Below are 18,438 nucleotides of genomic sequence, written 5' to 3'. Positions count from 1 at the left end.
CAAACTCCAACAGACCTGCAGCTGAGGGTCCTGACTGTTAGAAGGAAAACTAACAAACAGAAAGGACATCCACACCAAAACCCCATCTGTACGTCACCATCATTAAAGGCCAAAGGTAGATAAAACCACAAAGATGGGGAAAAAACAGAGCAGAAAAGCTGAAAATTCTAAAAATCAGAGCTCCTTTCCCCCTCCAAAGGAACGCGGCTCCTCGCCAGCAATGGAACAAAGCTGGATGGAGAACGACTTTGACGAGTTGAGAGAAGAAGGCTTCAGACGATCAAACTTCTCCGAGCTAAAGGAGGAAGTTCGAACCCAATGCAAAGAAGCTAAAAACCTTGAAAAAAGATTAGATGAATGGTTAACTAGAATAACCAGTGTAGAGAAGTCCTTAAATGACCTGATGAGCTGAAAACCATGGCACGAGAACTATGTGATGAATGCACAAGCTTCAGTAGCTGATTCGATCAACTGGAAGAAAGGGTATCAGTGATTGAAGATCAAATGAGTGAAATGAAGCGAGAAGAGAAGTTTGGAGAAAAAAGAGTAAAAAGAAATGAACAAAGCCTCCAAGAAATATGGGACTGTGTGAAAAGACCAAATCTACGTCTGATTGGTGTACCTGAAAGTGATAGGGAGAATGGAACCAAGTTGGAAAACACTCGGCAGGATATTATCCAGGAGAACTTCCCCAATCTAGCAAGGCAGGCCAACATTCAAATTCAGGAAATACAGAGAACACCAAAAAGATACTCCTCGAGAAGAGCAACTCCAAGACACATAATTGTCAGATTCACCAAAGTTGAAATGAAGGAAAAAATATTAAGGGCAGCCAAAGAGAAAGGTCAGGTTACCCACAGAAGGAAGCCCATCAGACTAACAGCAGATCTCTGGGCAGAAACTCTACAAGCCAGAAGAGAGTGGGGGCCAACATTCAACATTCTTAAAGAAAAGAGTTTTCAACCCAGAATTTAATATTCAGCCAAACTAAGCTTCATAAGCGAAGGAGAAATAAAATCCTTTACAGACAAGCAAATGCTGAGAGATTTTGTCACCACTAAGCCTGCCCTACAAGAGCTCCTGAAGGAAGCACTAAACATGGAAAGAAACAACTGGTACCAGCCACTGCAAAAACATGCCAAATTGTAAAGACCGTCGATGGTAGAAAGAAACTGCATCAACTAATGAGCAAAGTAACCAGCTAACATCATAATGACAGGATCAAATTCACACATAACAATATTAACCTTAAATGTAAATGGGCTAAATGCTCCAATTAAAAGACACAGACTGGCAAATTGGATAAAGAGTCAAGACCCAACAGTGTGCTGTATTCAGGAGAGCCATCTCACGTGCAGACACACACATAGGATCAAACTAAAGGGATGGAGGAAGATCTGCCAAGCAAATGGAAAACAAAAAAAGGCAGGGGTTGCAATCCTAGTCTCTGATAAAACAGACTTTAAACCAACAAAGATCAAAAGATACAAAGAAGGCCACTACATAATGGTAAAGGAATCAATTCAACAAGAAGAGCTAACTATCTTAAATATATATGCACCCAATACAGGAGCACCCAGATTCATAAAGCAAGTCCTTAGAGATCTACAAAGAGACTTAGACTCCCACACAATAATAATGGGAGACTTTAACACCCCACTGTCAACATTAGACGGATCAACAAGACAGAAAGTTAACAAGGATATCCAGGAATTGAACTCAGCTCTGCACCAAGTGGACCTAATAGACATCCACAGAACTCTCCACCCCAAATCAACAGAATATACATTCTTCTCAGCACCACATCACACTTATTCCAAGATTGGCCACATAGTTGGAAGTAAAGCACTCCTCAGCAAATGTAAAAAAACAGAAATTATAACAAACTGTCTCTCAGACCACAGTGCAATCAAACTAGAACTTAGGATTAAGAAACTCACTCAAAACCGCTCAACTACGTGGAAACTGAACAACCTGCTCCTGAATGAATACTGTGTACATAACAAAATGAAGGCAGAAATAAAGATGTTCTTTGAAACCAATGAGAACAAAGACACAACATACTAGAATCTCTGGAACACATTTAAACGAGTGAGTAGACGGAAATTTATAGCACTAAATGCCCACAAGAGAAAGCAGGAAAGATCTAAAATTGACACCCTAATATCACAATTAAAAGAAGTAGAGAAGCAAGACAAACACATTCAAAAGCTAGCAGAAGTCAAGAAATAACTAAGATCAGAGAAGAACTGAACGAGATAGAGACACAAAAAACCCTTCAAAAAATCAATGAATCCAGGAGCTGGTTTTTTGAAAAGATCAACAAAATTGATAGACCACCAGCAAGACTAATAAAGAAGAAAAGAGAGAAGAATCAAATAGATGCAATAAAAAATGATAAAGGGGATATCACCATCAATCCCACAGAAATACAGACTACCATCAGAGAATACTGTAAACACCTCTACGCAAATAAACTAGAAAATCTCGAAGAAATGGATAAATTCCTGACACATACACCCTCCCAAGACTAAATCAGGGAGAAGTTGAATCCCTGAATAGACAAATAACAGGCTCTGAAATTGAGGCAATAATTAATAGCTTACCAACCAAAAAAAGTCCAGGACCAGATGGATTCACAGCCGAATTCTACCAGAGGTACAAGGAGGTGCTGGTACCATTCCTTCTGAACTATTGCAATCAATAGGAAAAGAGGGAATCCTCCCTAACTCATTTTATGAGGCCAGCATCATCCTGATACCAAAGCCTGGCAGAGACACAACAAAAAAAGAGAATTTTAGACCAATATCCCTGATGAACATTGATACAAAAATTCTGAATAAAATACTGGCAAACTGAATCCAGCAGCACATCAAAAAGCTTATCCACCATGATCAAGTGGGTTTCATCCCTGGGATGCAAGGTTGGTTCAACATATGCAAATCAATAAACGTAATCCAGCATATAAACAGAACCAAAGACAAAAACCACATGATTATCTCAATAGATGCAGAAAAGGCCTTTGACAAAATTCAACAACGCTTCATGCTAAAAACTCTCAATAAATTAGGTATTGATGGGACATTTCTCAAAATAATAAGAGCTATTTATGACAAACCCACAGCCAATATCATACTGAATGGGCAAAAACTGGAAGCATTCCCTTTGAAAACTGGCACAAGACAGGGATGCCCTCTCTCACCACTCCTATTCAACATAGTGTTAGAAGTTCTGGCCAGGGCAATCAGGCAGGAGAAAGAAATAAAGGGTATTCAATTAGGAAAAGAGGAAGTCAAATTGTCCCTGTTTGCAGATGACATGATTGTATATTTAGAAAACCCTATTGTCTCAGACCAAAATCTCCTTAAGCTGATAAGCAACTTCAGCAAAGTCTCAGGATACAAAATCAATGTGCAAAAATCACAAGCTTTCTTATACACCAATAACAGACAAATAGAGAGCCAAATCATGAGTGAACTCCCATTCACAATTTCTTCAAAGAGAATAAAATACCTAGGAATCCAACTTACAAGGGATGTGAAGGACCTCTTCAAGGAGAACTACAAACCACTGCTCAACGAAATAAAAGAGGATACAAACAAATGGAAGAACATTCCATGCTTATAGATAGGAAGAATCAATATCGTGAAAATGGCCATACTGCCCAAGGTAATTTATAGATTCAATGCCATCCCCATCAAGCTACGAATGATTTTTTTCACAGAATTGGAAAAAACTACTTTAAAGTTCATATGGAACCAAAAAAGAGCCCATACTTTAAAGACAATCCTAAGCCAAAAGAACAAAGCTGGAGGCATCCCACTACCTGACTTCAAACTATACTACAAGGCTACAGTAACCAAAACAGCATGGTACTGGTACCAAAACAGAGATATAGACCAACGGAACAGAACAGAGCCCTCAGAAATAATACCACACATCTACAACCATCAGATCTTTGACAGACCTGACAAAAACAAGCAATGGGGAAAGGATTCCCTATTTAATAAATGGTGCTGGGAAAACTGGCTAGCCATATGTAGAAAGCTGAAACTGGATCCCTTCCTTACACCTTATACAAAAATTAATTCAAGATGGATTACAGACTTAAATGTTAGACCTAAAACCATAAAAACCCTAGAAGAAAACCTAGGCAATACCATTCAGGACATAGGCATGGGCAAGGACTTCATGTCTAAAACACCAAAGGTAATGGCAACAAAAGCCAAAATTGACAAATGGGATCTAATTAAACTAAAGAGCTTCTGCACAGCAAAAGAAACTACCATCAGAGTGAACAGGCAACCTACTCATCTGACAAAGGGCTAATATCCAGAATCTACAAAGAACTCAAACAAATGTACAAGAAAGAAACAAACAACCCCATCAACAAGTGGGCGAAGGATATGAACAGACACTTCTCAAAAGAAGACATTTATGCAGCCAACAGACACATGAAAAAATGCTCATCATCACTGGCCATCAGAGAAATCCAAATCAAAACCACAGTGATATACCATCTACACCAGTTAGAATGGCAATCATTAAAAAGTCAGGAAACAACAGGTGCTGGAGAGGATGTGGAGAAATAGGAACACTTTTACACTGTTGGAGGGACTGTAAACTAGTTCTACCATTGTGGAAGACAGTGAGGCGATTCCTCAAGGATCTAGAACTAGAAATACCATTTGACCCAGCCATCCCATTACTGGGTATATACCCAAAGGATTATAAATCATGCTGCTATAAAGGCACATGCACACGTATGTTTACTGTGGCACTATTCACAATAGCAAAAACTTGGAACCAACCCAAATGTCCATAAATGATAGAGTGGATTAAGAAAGTGTGGCACATATACACCATGGAATACTATGCAGCCATAAAAAAGGATGAGTTCATGTCCTTTGTAGGGACATGGATGAAGCTGGAAACCATCATTCTCAGCAAACTATTGCAAGGATAAAAAACCAAACACCGCATGTTCTCACTCATAGGTGGGAATTGAACAATGAAAGCACTTGGACATGGGAAGCAGAACATCACACACCAGGGCCTGTTGTGGGGTGGGGGGAGGGGGGCAGGGGGAGGGAAAGCATGAGGAGATATACCTAATATAAATGATGAATTAATGGGTGCAGCACACCAACATGGCACATGAATACATATGTAACAAACCTGCACGTTGTGCACATGTACCCCAGAACTTAAAGTATAAAAAAAATCACATGGTACCTCATAAATGAATACAATTATGTCAATTAATAATAAAATGTACTACTTATAAAGAGGACTACACAATGAAAATGTATCATGCACTTCAGTTTTGATGGTATATAAATATTTTAGAAAGAAAATGAATAATGAATAATTTAAAAAATTGAAACCCTGAGATAAGGATGGACACTGAAACAGATATCTCAGGCTTTGGAAGTGCAGGGATGAATATTTTTTCTCTATAGAAACTAAAAGGTAGAGTCAATTCTATATCTGGTAGACATAGAATTGATTTTTTGGGGGATATACTTCACATAGGATTTTATTATAGTATATTTACAAAGTGTGCAATAATCACCACTGTCTTCTTTTTTCACACCCAGAAGAAACCCTGTACACATTAGCAGTCAGTCCTCATTCTCTCCTTCTTGAAGCTCCTGGCATCCACCAGTGTACTTTTTATCACTATGGATTTGCCTATTCTGCACAGTTTGTCTGGCTTCTGTCAATTAGCACAATGTTTTCAAGGTTCATCCATGTTGTAGCATGTTTATGGATGAAAAATATTCCATTGTGTGGATATATTACATTTTGTGTATCCATTCATCAGTTGATGAACATTGTGATTGTTTCTGCTCTTAGCTGTTAAGAATAATGCTGCTGTGAACATTCATGTACATGTAGTTGTGTGAATATATATTTTCAATTCTCTTGGGTATGTTACTAGTAGTGAAATTGCTGGGTCATATGGTAACTGTTTAATTTTTTGAATAACTGCCAAACTCTTACAAAGTGACTATGCAAAAGAGTTTTTTTTTTTCACTGTTTTTATGCCAGTACAGTGCTATTCAACATTCCCACCTTGACTATTGTTCTTTTTTAAAAAATTTGTTTTGTTTCCATATGTTTTTGGAGAACAGGTGGTGTTTGGTTACAGGAGTAAGTTCTTTAGTGGTGATTTGTGAGATTTTGGTATACTCATCACTGGAGCAGTATTTGCTCAAATACCGAACCTGATTTGTAGTTTTAAAAGTGGAACTACTGGCTGGGCATAGTGGCTCACGCCTGTAATCCCAGGATTTTGGGAGGCCGAGGTGGGTGGATTACTTGAGGTCAGGAGTTCAAGACCAGCCTGGCTAATATGGTGAAACCTCGTTTCTACTAAAAATACAAAAAATCAGCCTGGCTTGGTGGCGCACACCTGTAATCCCAGCTACTCGGGAGGCTGAGGCAGGAGAATTGCTTGAACCTGGGAGGCGGAGGCTGCAGTGAGCTGAGACCATGTCGTTTCACTCCAGCTTTGGCAAGAAGAGTGAAACTGCATCTCAAACAAACAAACAAAAAAATAGAACTACCATTTGATCCAGCAATTTCACTACTGGGTATCTATTCAGAGGAAAAGAAGTCATTATACGAAAAAGATGCTTGCACACACGTTCTTTTTTTGATTTGCATTTCTGTAGTAACTAATGATGTTGAACCCCTTTTCGTGTGTTTACTGGCCATTTGTGTTTCTTCTTCGAGGAAATGTTTTTTCAGATTTGGTATTTCTTAGTTGGGTTATATATTTTGGATACTGGTACATTAGCAGATACACTATTTCAAAATATTTTCTTCAGTTCTGTGAGTTGTGTTTCCACTTTCTTGATAATATCTTTTGAAGTACGAAAGTTTTTAATTCTGACGTAGTCCAGCTTACCTATTTTTTCTTTCATTGTTTTTGTTTTTGGTATTATATCTGAGATCACAAAGTCACAAAGATTTATGCTTATGTTTTCATGTATGAGTTTTATAGTTTTAACTCTAACATTTAGGTATTTGAGCCAGTTGAGTTAATTTTTGTATATGATGTGAAGTAGGGGTTTAAATTCACTCTTTTGCATGTGGATATTCAGTTGTTCCAGCACCATTTGTTGAAAACATTATTCTTTCCACTATTGAACTGTCTTGGACCCTTGTTGAAAATCAGTTGACCATAGGTACATGGCTTTATTGCTATACTCTAATTGCATTCTAGTGATCTGTGTCTATCCTTTGCCAGTACGACACTGTCTTGATTACTATTGCTTGTAGTATGTATTACAATTAGAAAGTGTGAGTCTAACTTTATTCAAGGTTATTTTGGTTATTTTGGATCTCTTGCATTTCCATGTGAATTTCAGCATCCGCTTGCCATTGTTTGCAAAAAACGACATTTGGGAATTCATAAGGGATTGTGTGAATCTATAGATTAGTTTGGGAATTATTGCCATTTAACAATATCTAGTTTTCCTATCCATAGACACATATGTTTTTCCATTTATTTAAATCATTTAAAACTTCTTTTAACGTGTTTTGTAGTTTTCAGAGTATACGTTTTGCACTTCTTTTGTTAAATGTAATTTATCCTTCTTGAAGCTATTGTAAATGAATTTTTTTTATTTTTTTTTTTTTTTTGAGTTGGAGTCTCACTCCATCACCCAGGCTGCAGTGCAGTGGCCTGATCTCAGCCCGCTGCAACCTCCCCCTCCTGGGTTCAAGCGATTCTCTTGCCTCAGCCTTCCAAGTAGCTGGAACTACAGGTATGTGCCACAATGCCCAGTTAACTTTTGTATTTTTTAGTAGAGATGGCGTTTTGCCATGTTGGCCAGGCTGGTCTCGAACTCCTGACCTCAGGTGATCCACCTGCCTTGGCCTTCGAAAGTGCTGGGATTACAGGCATGAGCCATTGTGCCCAGCCTGGAATTGTTTTTTAATTTTATTTTTGGATTGTTCATTTCAAGTATACAGAAACACTATCGAGTTTTGTATATTGATCTTGTGCCCTGCAACCTTGTGGAACTTATTTGTTCTAATAGTTTTTAAATTGAGTCCTTAGGATTTTCCTAAAAATGTATGTCATCTTTGAGTAAAGAAAGCTTACTTCTTCCTTTCCAATCTGGATGCCTTTTATTTAATTTTCTTGCCTATTGCCCTGACTAGAACCTCCAGTAGAATGTTGAATAGAAGTGGTGAGAACGGACATCTTTGTTTTCTTTATGATTATACTGGGAAAGCTTCCAGTCTTTCACCATTAAGTATGATGTACTTTATTCAGTTGAGGATAGAATTGATTTTTAATAAAGAGAAGTTATGACATTACTTCAACGTTCTCAGTTTATCTTGGTTTAAAAACTTTTAAAAAACCTTGGCAATCTCAATATTTTGAGATCCATTGTTAAAATCCAGACAATGGTGTGACATTCTGAAGTCTCTTCTCCTTCCCTTCTCCTTCCCCCCTCCTTTCCTTCTCTCCTTCCTTCCTCCCTCCCTCCCTCCCTCCTTTCCTTCCTTCCTTCTTTCCTTCTTTCCTTCCTTCCTTCCTTCCTTCTCTCCCTCCTTTATTTCCTACCTAATATAAGATTCATTTCAACAGCTGTTTCACTTTCCAGGAAATAAAAGATTTGCAGATTCTGTAAGCTTTCTAATAAGTTTCTATTCTAACAATTAACTTGAGTCTTTGACTCATAATTTAATCTTTAACATTCTGTGGTTAGGACAGTATTAACTTTTAAAACTTTTAAGTAGTTTAATAAAATGTAATAATAAAATAATCAATATGGCCCTTTTTAAAGAGAATTCAATATTAATAGTGGTGACATAAAAATTTGATCATCAGGAACTGGTTAACTGAATTGTCTATTTATCTCTTTATATTTTAAAGCGCTTTTACTTTATTTCATTTTTAAGAAATTTAATATGAAAATGTTCAAGCATGCATAAGTAGAGAGCATAAAATATTTTTACATACCAATCTCTTGGTTTGGCAATTATCATTTTCCAAAGAGTGTTTCATTTATCTCCTGTACTTTTTTGATTAAATATTTTAATGCTAATGCCAAACGTTGTATCATTTAACCTAAAATATGCAGTATGTGTTTTTAATAGATAAAGATTAGGAAAAAAACCAACCATGATACCACTAATATCTGAAATGAATATTTTCATTCTCCCTTGTCCTTCCCACTGCTCTGTTATCCCCAATTTAGTCACCAGGGGTACTCGTAGCTACTTGGTTTTCTTTATATCTAGACTTGGATTGGCCTTGAAAGTTCAGTACAGCAGTCTCTACCCACATGTGGCTACTGAACACTTGAAATGTGGCTAATCCAAATTAAAATGTTCTGTTAGTCTAAAAATATACATTTAATTTTGAAAACTTGGTATAAAAAGAATGTAAGATATCTCATTAACATTTAAAAATTGATTCCATGTTAGAATGATAAGATGTTGAATATTCTGGATTAAATAAAATATATTATTAAAATGAATTTTACCAGTTTCTTTTACCTTTTAAAAATGTAACTATTAGAACATCTATAATTATACCTGTTGCTTACATTACAATTTTATTGGATTTGATGTTTTAGACCTTTTTAGTGAATGGAACTAGGGAATATCTGTATTTTAGAAAGAACAAAATAAATAATGATTTCATGCTGATATCTCATTTACATTAAAGATGACAGGGTTTTAAAATTTAAAAGACAACTAATTTTGATTTTATATTTGTATCTGTTTTTCTCATGCTGAGAATATTACTTCCTACTGACATTTCTTATTTGCTCTATTTTCAAGGTAACAGTGTCAATATTTCTACTAGAAGTATTACAGCTGAATGCAGTTTTTAATTTCTTTTTTTTCTTATTGAGGCATAATTGACACATAAAGTCGTATGTATTTAGTGCTCAATGTGATGTTTTGATATATGTATACACTGTGAAATGAATACACAATCAAGCTAATTAATATATCCATCAATTTACATAGTTATCTTTTTTTTGGTGAAGTACATTTAAGATCTACACTCTCGGCAATTTCCAAATATACAATATGTAACTATTAACTATAATCACAATGTTGTACAATAAATTTCCAGAACTTAGTCATCCTGTCTAAACAAAACTTTGTACCCTTGACCAACATCTTCACATTTCCCAACTGCTCTCCCCAGCTCCTGGTAATTATCATTCTACTCTCTGCTTCTGTGAGTTTGATTTTTTAGATTTCACATGTAAGTGAGATCATGCACTATTTGTCTTTTTGCACCTGGTTTATTTCACTTAGCATCGTATCCTCCAGTTTCATCCATGTTTTCATAAATGACAAGATTTCCTTCTTTTTTAAGGCTGCATAATATTCCTGTGTGTGTGTGTGTGTGTGTGTGTGTGTGTGTGTATCACATATTCTTTATCTGTTCATCTGTTGATGGACAGAAGTTGATTCCACATCTTGGCTATTGTAAATAATGCTGCAGTGAACATGGGAGTGCATGGGAGTGCAGATATTTCTTCAACATACTGTGTTCATTTCCTTTGGATATATGCCCAGATGTGGAACTGATGGATCATATAGTCATTCAATTTTAATTTTTTGAGGAACTTCCATACTGTTTTCCAATTTACATTCCCAAAAACAGTATGAACGAATTCCTTTTCATCCATCTCCTTGCCAATGCTTGCTATCTTTTGTCTTTTTGATTATAGCCATTTTAACAGGCATGAGGTGATATCTCATTGTGGTTTTAATTGCATTTCTCTGATGATTAGTAATGTTAATCATTTTTTTCATATGTCTATTGGCCATTTCTATAGCTTCTTTTGGAGATATCTATTAAGGTCCCTTGCCCATTTTTAAAATTGGGTTATTTGTTTTCTTGCTATTGAGTCATTTGAGTTCTTTACGTATTTTGGATATTAACTGTTTAAATATTTATAAACCAGAGTGTGGTTTGAAAGTATTTTCTTCTATCCTGTAGGTTTTCTCTTCACTCTTTTGGTTGTTTCCTTTGCTATGTGTGAGATTTTTACCTTGACGCAATCACATTGGTCTATTTTTTCATGTTGCTTGTGCTTTTGGGGTCATATCCAAAAAATTATTGCCTAGCCTAATGACGAGAAGCTTTTTTTCCCTGTGTTTACTTCTAGTAGTTTTAAGTTTCTAGTATTACATTTAAATCTTTAATCCATTTGAGTTAATTTTTGTATATTATATGAGATAAGGCCCAGTTTCATTCTTTTGGCATGTAGATATCCACTTATCCCAGACCTATGTGTTAAAGAGACTGTCCTTTACTCATTGTATGTTCTTGACAGCTTTGTTAAAGAATAATTGACTGTAAATATGTGGCTTTATTTCTGGACTCTCTATTCTGTTTTATTGGTCTAAATGTTTTGATTATTATAGCTTTTTAGAATATTTTGAAATTAGGTAATGTGATGCCTTCAGCTTTGTTGGCTATTTGGGGTCTTTTGTGGTTCCACATAAATTTTAGAGTTTTTTTTTTCTATTTCTGGAAAAATGACATTAGATTTTGTTAGGGATTGCATTGACTCTGTAGATTGCTTTAGGTAGCACTTACATTGTAACAATATTAATTATTTCAATCTATGAGCATGGGATATCTTTCCATTTATTTGTGCCTTCTTCAATTTCATCAATTTTCAGTGTATAGATTTTTAATTTCTTATTTAAATGTATTCTTAAATATTTTATTCTTTTTGATGTTATTGGACATTGGATTTTCTTAATTTTTTATGTGTAGTTCATTGTCAGTATATAGAAATACTACTGGGGTTTTTGTATGTTGATTTTGTATCCTGCAACTTTACTGAATTTATTAGATTTAACAATTTTTTGGATGAAATCTTTAGGGTTTTCTCTATATAAGATCATGTCATCTGCAAATAGAGGCAATTTTACTTCTTCTTTTCCAACTTGGATGTCTTTCATTTATTTTTTTTACCCAATTACTCTGCCTAAAACCTCCAGTACTATGTTGAATAGAAGTCATGTGAATAGGCATCCTTGTCTTGTTCTTGATCTTACAGAAAAAGGTTTTTAGCTTTTCACTATTGACTATGACGTTAGCTGTGGGCTTGTCATATATGGACTTTATTAAGTTGAGGTACATTTATTCTTTCGATATCTGATTTGTTGAGAATTTTTATCATGAAATTTCATCAAGCACTATTTCTGCATTTATTGAGGTGATCATATGTTTTTTGTCCTTCATTCTCTTAATGTGATGTATCACATTTACTGATTTGTGTATATTATACCATCCTTATATCCCAGGAATACATTTTACTTGATTGCATATATGATTCTTTTAATGTCCTATTAAATTTCGCTTGCTAGTATTTTGTTTAGGACTTTTACATCTGTGCTCATTGGGGATATTGGCCTATAATTTTGTGTTCTTGTATTGTCTGGTTTGGTGTCAGGGTAATGTTGGTCTTGTAGAATGAGTTTGGAATGTTCCCTTATCTTCAATATTTTGGGAGAGTTTGAGAAGAATTGGTATTAATTCTTCTTAAAATATTTGGTAGGATTTACCAATGAAGCCATCAGATCCTGGGCTTTTCTTTGTTGAGAGGTTTTCTTTTATTACTGATTCAATCTGTCTACTTGTTATAGGTCTGTTCAATTTTCTTAAGATTCAATTGTGGTAGGTTGTATGTTTTTGGTAACTCACACAGCTCTACCTTTCTTCCTTTGTACATCAAAGCTCTTAACATCCTGCCTTCATTCATTCCCCTCCAAAGCTTACAAATAGTTATTTAAAATATTTTGTCCAGGTTTTATTATTTATTTATTTATTTATTTTTGAGACAGAGTCTCACTCTGTCGCCCAGGCTGGAGTGCAGTGATAACGATATCGGGTCTCTGCAACCTCTGCCTCCTGGGTTCAAGCAATTCTCTGCCTCAGCCTCCTGAATATCTGGGATTACAGGCGCACGCCACCATGCTGGGCTAATTTTTGAATTTTTAGTAGAGATGGGGTTTCACCATCTTGGCCAGGCTGGTCTTGAACTCCTGACCTCGTGATCCACCCGCCTCAACCTCCCAAAGTGCTGGGATTACAGGCATGAGCCACCGCACCCAGCCTTATAATTTATTTTTAAGTGGAATGATTCATTTAATACCAGCTTCTCCCTTATGGCTGCTGCCAAAAGCCTTTAAATGCACCTTTAAGTGAAATCAACAAGGTAAAATAAAAGAAGCTGAGATCAAGGATTTATTTATGTAAGTAACTTTCAGCCTTTTCCTTTCCTGTATGACTCAGGTTCAGGTATAACTATTTACAAGTATTTGGCAAAACCAACTAGGTGAGAAGTGGCTGCTCTGGGATTCATCACAGAAGATCTGTAGAATTGATATTACTCTTCCATAACGGTTAGAATTTCTGAAGTGGAACCCAAAGTATGAATATGAGCCCAAGATATCACAAGCAATTTAGGTTTTTCTGGAATCTCCTGAAAACATGAACGCTTAATGTCATTACCCTTATCTTTGCTCTAAGTGTCCAGTCTGGGTACTTTAAACTGACAACATCTTTCTCGTTCATTGCCACAGGCAATGATTAAAGAAGAATTAGTCAGAAGGATTTTACCAAAAAGTTGCTTATTCCTATCTCTATCTGAAATTCCTGTTGTCGTTTAAGATTTCTTCAGGCTTGAGATCCTTGCTATTTTCCCTACGCCGTACAATGGTTTTGTCAGTCTCATCTCCCTCCTAACCACGCTACTCTAAGTATGTAGCCATATGTGCTTAACGCTTTCTGGGTTGGTTCACACCTCTTTGGATAGAATCTCAGCATTTACATTCTATTTGCATTCTCAATTTGATTTCAGACTATTTCTTACCTTTTCTTACCAAATTACAGTGTTATCTGTCATGCGCTGGGCTCCATGTAGATGGAACATTTCTTCAAGAAAACGTCTGTCATCTATATATTTTGTACCTATCTCAGATTTTAACAGGGTCTGCTACATCACAGCTGTTCCATAAATGTGCTCACCAGCTAATTATAGCTTTATAAAACATCACCTGATGATACTGCTATTTTTATTAATGGTTGCTATATAAATAGTTTTCGAGGTTATTTTTTCCCCGAATGTTATTGGTGTTCAACATAAAATTAACTCCTTCAGTAAACAATTTGAAACACAAAAGCTGCTTCAAAAACACCATAAGCATTGTTGATACTAATTGCTATTCAGTGCTACAGAGCAGATTTTGCCAACATTTTCTCATGACCCTTATCTTCAGGGGTTTGTAATTGAAACAGTATGTATACATTTATAAATTGAATACAATTTATAAATTGAAACAGTATGCATGTTGAATTTTAGGATGCAAGAATTCACAACATTAAGCTTTTTGAAAACAGTATTAGTGGTCCAGTATGGGTGTTGCAATTTGTTGTAGAAGAGCTGGGTGCTAGGTCATGTTGTGTTATGCCAGGGTGGAGGGGGATGATCATTCTGCCATGCAGAGCAGCCGTCGTTTGTGATCCATTAATCTTTTGCCTTTGGCCTTCTTGTGAGTGGATGAATTGCAGTACAAAAATGTGAACATTTTATAATGAGACTCAGTTTGTTCTGAAAATGAAGACCATAAATGAGTGTTTTTCTTCTTTTGATGGGACTTCAAATTGAGACAAAAATAAATGCTAGGAATATCTAGAAATTGGTCCTAGAAATTGAATATGATCACTAGCTCTTTTAATTAACATTTCTGTTAACATTGGGACCTATTCCTTATTCTCTCCACACGGAGGCTTCTTCTTTTGTCAGAGATTAATGTTCCCTCCTTTTTCATGCAAAAGATTAAAGAGGTCATATAAATATAAAACATTTGCTTTTCATTAACCAGAGTTTTAATATATCTTCTTGATAGACATCAAAAGACATAAATTGCAGTGTCAGAATTAGAATTCTGTAATACAACTAAAATGAAGTGGGCAGCTTTATTTTAAAGATGTAACAGTATGTAACATATTTCTGTATTTTCATGTTAGATGAGGAGTTGTGTGATAGGTTATGATCCTTTCCCAACAGAATCATTCTGTTTCTTTTCAAAGGAACCTACCCTTTCCTTATTTTGGTGGGAACGACAAGAGTATTTGGTTGGAAGTCATAGCTATACAGAGGGGAAGAAGCTGTGTCCAGGCAAAGGAAAGTGTAGCTAACTTTCTGTGATGATACATTAGAATTGTAGTTCTGTAAAAGATATTAGAGGTGATCTGTACATAATCCTTCTGTTACAGGTAAAGAGAACAGATTTAGAGTGGGGTGGATTTGCACAAGGTCACGTCACCCAGTGGCTGAGCAGGAACATAAGAAAGGGACTCTTTATCACCCCATAGTGTTCACAACCCACACTCAGTACTCAGGCTGCTCTTCGGTAGTGGGGACTCCCACAGCCCCGCAGGGTATAAAGAAAGGACTCGTGGGAGGAATTCCTACTTATGATGTTCCATGACTGTATTAGGTCATTCTCACATTGTTACAAGAAATACCTGAAACTGAGTCATTTATTTAAAAACCTGGTTTAATTGGCTCATAGTTCTGCAGGCTGTTCAGGAAGCATAGCAGCTTCTGCTTCTGGGGAGCCTCAGGAAGCTTCCAGTCATGGCAGAAGGCAAGGGGGAAGCAGTCATCTTACATGGCAGGAGCTAGGATCAAGAGAAAGAGAGAGGGAGGAGGTGCCATACATTTTGAAACCACCAGATTTCCTGAGAACTCACTAACATGAGAACAGCACCAAAGGGATGGTGCCAAACCATCCATAAGAAACCATTCCTATGATCTAGTCACCTGCCATCAGGTCCTACCTTCAAACTGGGGATTACAATTTGACATGAGATTGGGTGGGGACACCAATCCAAACCATATCAATGACCAAGGGAAACGAGGGCATGTATCCTTAATTTTCAAAGATCTTTATGACTAGTTACAGTAAGGTCAAAAAAGCACTTATCAAGGAGCCTCGTTCTCTTGCAGGATGTCTGCCAGCTCCTCTCCAGCCACCCATTCTCATAGCGGGTGAGCCAGACCACATCTGCTAATCCAGGAGCACAGCTCAGGTGAGATTTCCCCAGAGGGAGAGGTGGAGCTACGTGCAATACTCATTCTAACATCACTGGATTTTGCTGACAAGTACCAAGTGGTCTTGGCATTGTATATAAAGGCAAAGTGGTTAAAAATTGAGATGTTTGCTATTTTAAAATCTGTGAAAATTACAAAAATAAGATGTGTTGGTTAAAAAATATTTAAATATCACTGAATAAATGTCTTCTTATTCCAATTTTATTTCCTTGCTCTCTGGTACCCACTGGCATCAGATTGGTGAGGTTCCAGGCTCTTTTGCTATGTGTATGCAACTGAAATAATTAGGATTTTATTTTGTTTTTACAAAAATGAGCTGTGTTCTGCATACTTGTCTTTTATCCCCCGATAATCTTTCCTGATTGCACTCCTTATATGTTCTCAGTTACACAATGTTCCATAGTAAGGATATTCCACTATGTATTGTTACATATCTGTGTTGAAGGACATATAAGTTGCCTCGGGTATTTTACAAGTAATACAGAAATGAATATCCTTCTACACATATCCATGTGAATATGTGTTAGCACTTTCTTTTGCTAAATCTATAGAGGTTGAATTTTTGGTCAATGCATTCAGGCATTTAAAATTTGTCTAGAGACAGTTGATTTGTTTTGAGGATTTGATGTAAAGGTGAAAACCAAGGCAGTGAGTTTAGATCTATACAAAAGTCTAAGTGTTCTAAGTACCAAAAATCTATGGTACAAAAATACTAAAATAATTGGATTCTTTACGCATTTCGACATTCATTCAAAGTGGCTTTCAGCCAGAGGTTCCCAGGGCCAACCTTCAGACTTGATGATTTTCTAGAAGGACTTTTGGGACACAGAAAAGCTGTTACGCTTACAGTTATTATTTATGACAGTGAAAAGATACAGATTAATCCCAGCAAAGGTAAAAGGTATTCACCTTTTACCAGTTTGACCAGATGGTTTATGTTAACAATGTGGCTTGTGGTGAATGCCTGTTTTCCTGTGCCTCAGGTTTTGGACCACGCTGGATCAGTTTAATCTCTTAGGGGTCAGACTCTAAGTAGTTAGTATCAGTCATATGGGTGCTGCATAACTATGAGCTGACCTCAAACATTATAAAGATAGAAATGGTGGGCACTGGCTGGGTGTGTTGCTCATGCCTGTAATCTCAGCACTTTGCGGGGTGGGGTGGGGTGGGGTGAGGTTGGCAGATCACCTGAGGTCAGGAGTTCGAGACCAGCCTGGCCAACATGACGAAGCCCTGTCTCAACTAAAGATAAAAAAAAAAAAAAAAAAAAAATTAGCCAGTTTTAGTGGTTTGTGCCTGTAGTCCCAGCTATTTGGAAGGCTGAGACAGGAAAATTGCTTGAACCCAGGAGGCAGAGGTTGCAGTGAGCCGAGATGGTGCCACTGCACTCCAGCCTGGGCAACAGAGAGAGACTGTCTCAAAAAACAAACAAACAAACAAACACCCAAGAAATGCTGGACACCAAGGCTCAGGTAAGCTCCCCTGGTTGACATCACTTCCATGTGTACTTCCCATAAAATCCGGAGATAAAGGAGAAATCAGGCACAAGATTCCAGGTGTCCTTTCCCAGTGGAGTCACAGGGATGCACTTAGTTCTCTCAGCAACAATGTGTGACAACACATGGAAAGCGATGTCAACCAGAGGAGCTTACCTGAGCCTTGGTGTCCAGCATTTTTAGCTTCACGGTGATTCAGGTGGGCTCACGGTTATGCAGCACCCATAGGACTGACATTAACTACTTAGCGTCCAGCTCCCAAGAGATCAAACAAATCCAGCATGGCCCAAGACCTCAGGCATAGGAAAATAGGCATTCACCACAAGTCACATTGTTAAAAACCATTTGGTCAAACTGATACAGCCTGGCCCAAGGTCTCAGAAGTATAAAAACACTCTTATTAGGCAGGATATTTCAGGGGTTCAGAGGTTGTCTCCTAGGAGCTTGTCAAGGAAGGGCCTCTATTTAGAATGTGTAGGACTTGATCAATCAGGCCTGAATTCAACCTTTACTGCACACTCTTCTTGTACTTTATTGGAGTGATTCTGTGATCTTAGAACATGATGTACTTGAAGAGGAATTATTAAGGTTACTTGGAGGATGTGTGATCATTTCTTTGTTTTAGAACTTAGCAATTTCTATTGCTTCATAAAATGGAACCATAATGAACATGAGGGACCAGTACCTAACCAGGACTGACAAGACTTGATATGAATCCCAGTCCTGAATTTGAGTCTGGAGAGACTTGTCATTCCAACAAAGGTCAGGGATTTGTACATGGGAGCAAAGTAAGACTTTCCAGAGAAAGATAG

At 36.9% G+C, this 18,438-nt stretch overlaps 1 long non-coding RNA gene across 1 annotated transcript in view; it reads left to right on the top strand.

The window, feature by feature from the left end:
* The window catches only part of LOC105370531 (LINE-1 retrotransposable element ORF1 protein-like), a 58,110-nt gene that overhangs the window by 33,473 nt on the left and 6,199 nt on the right, over positions 1-18,438 (top strand). Inside the window, exon 3 of the long non-coding RNA XR_943934.4 lies at positions 16,026-16,108. This is a non-coding gene — a long non-coding RNA (LINE-1 retrotransposable element ORF1 protein-like). The remainder of the gene's footprint in view (positions 1-16,025; positions 16,109-18,438) is intronic.

The sequence above is a fragment of the Homo sapiens genome, chromosome 14, assembly GCF_000001405.40.
Source record: "Homo sapiens chromosome 14, GRCh38.p14 Primary Assembly".
In the NCBI taxonomy this organism is placed as follows: Eukaryota; Metazoa; Chordata; class Mammalia; order Primates; family Hominidae; genus Homo; species Homo sapiens.
The sequence above is the reverse complement of the archived record's forward strand: the minus strand, read 5'-3'. Positions and strand labels throughout refer to the sequence as shown.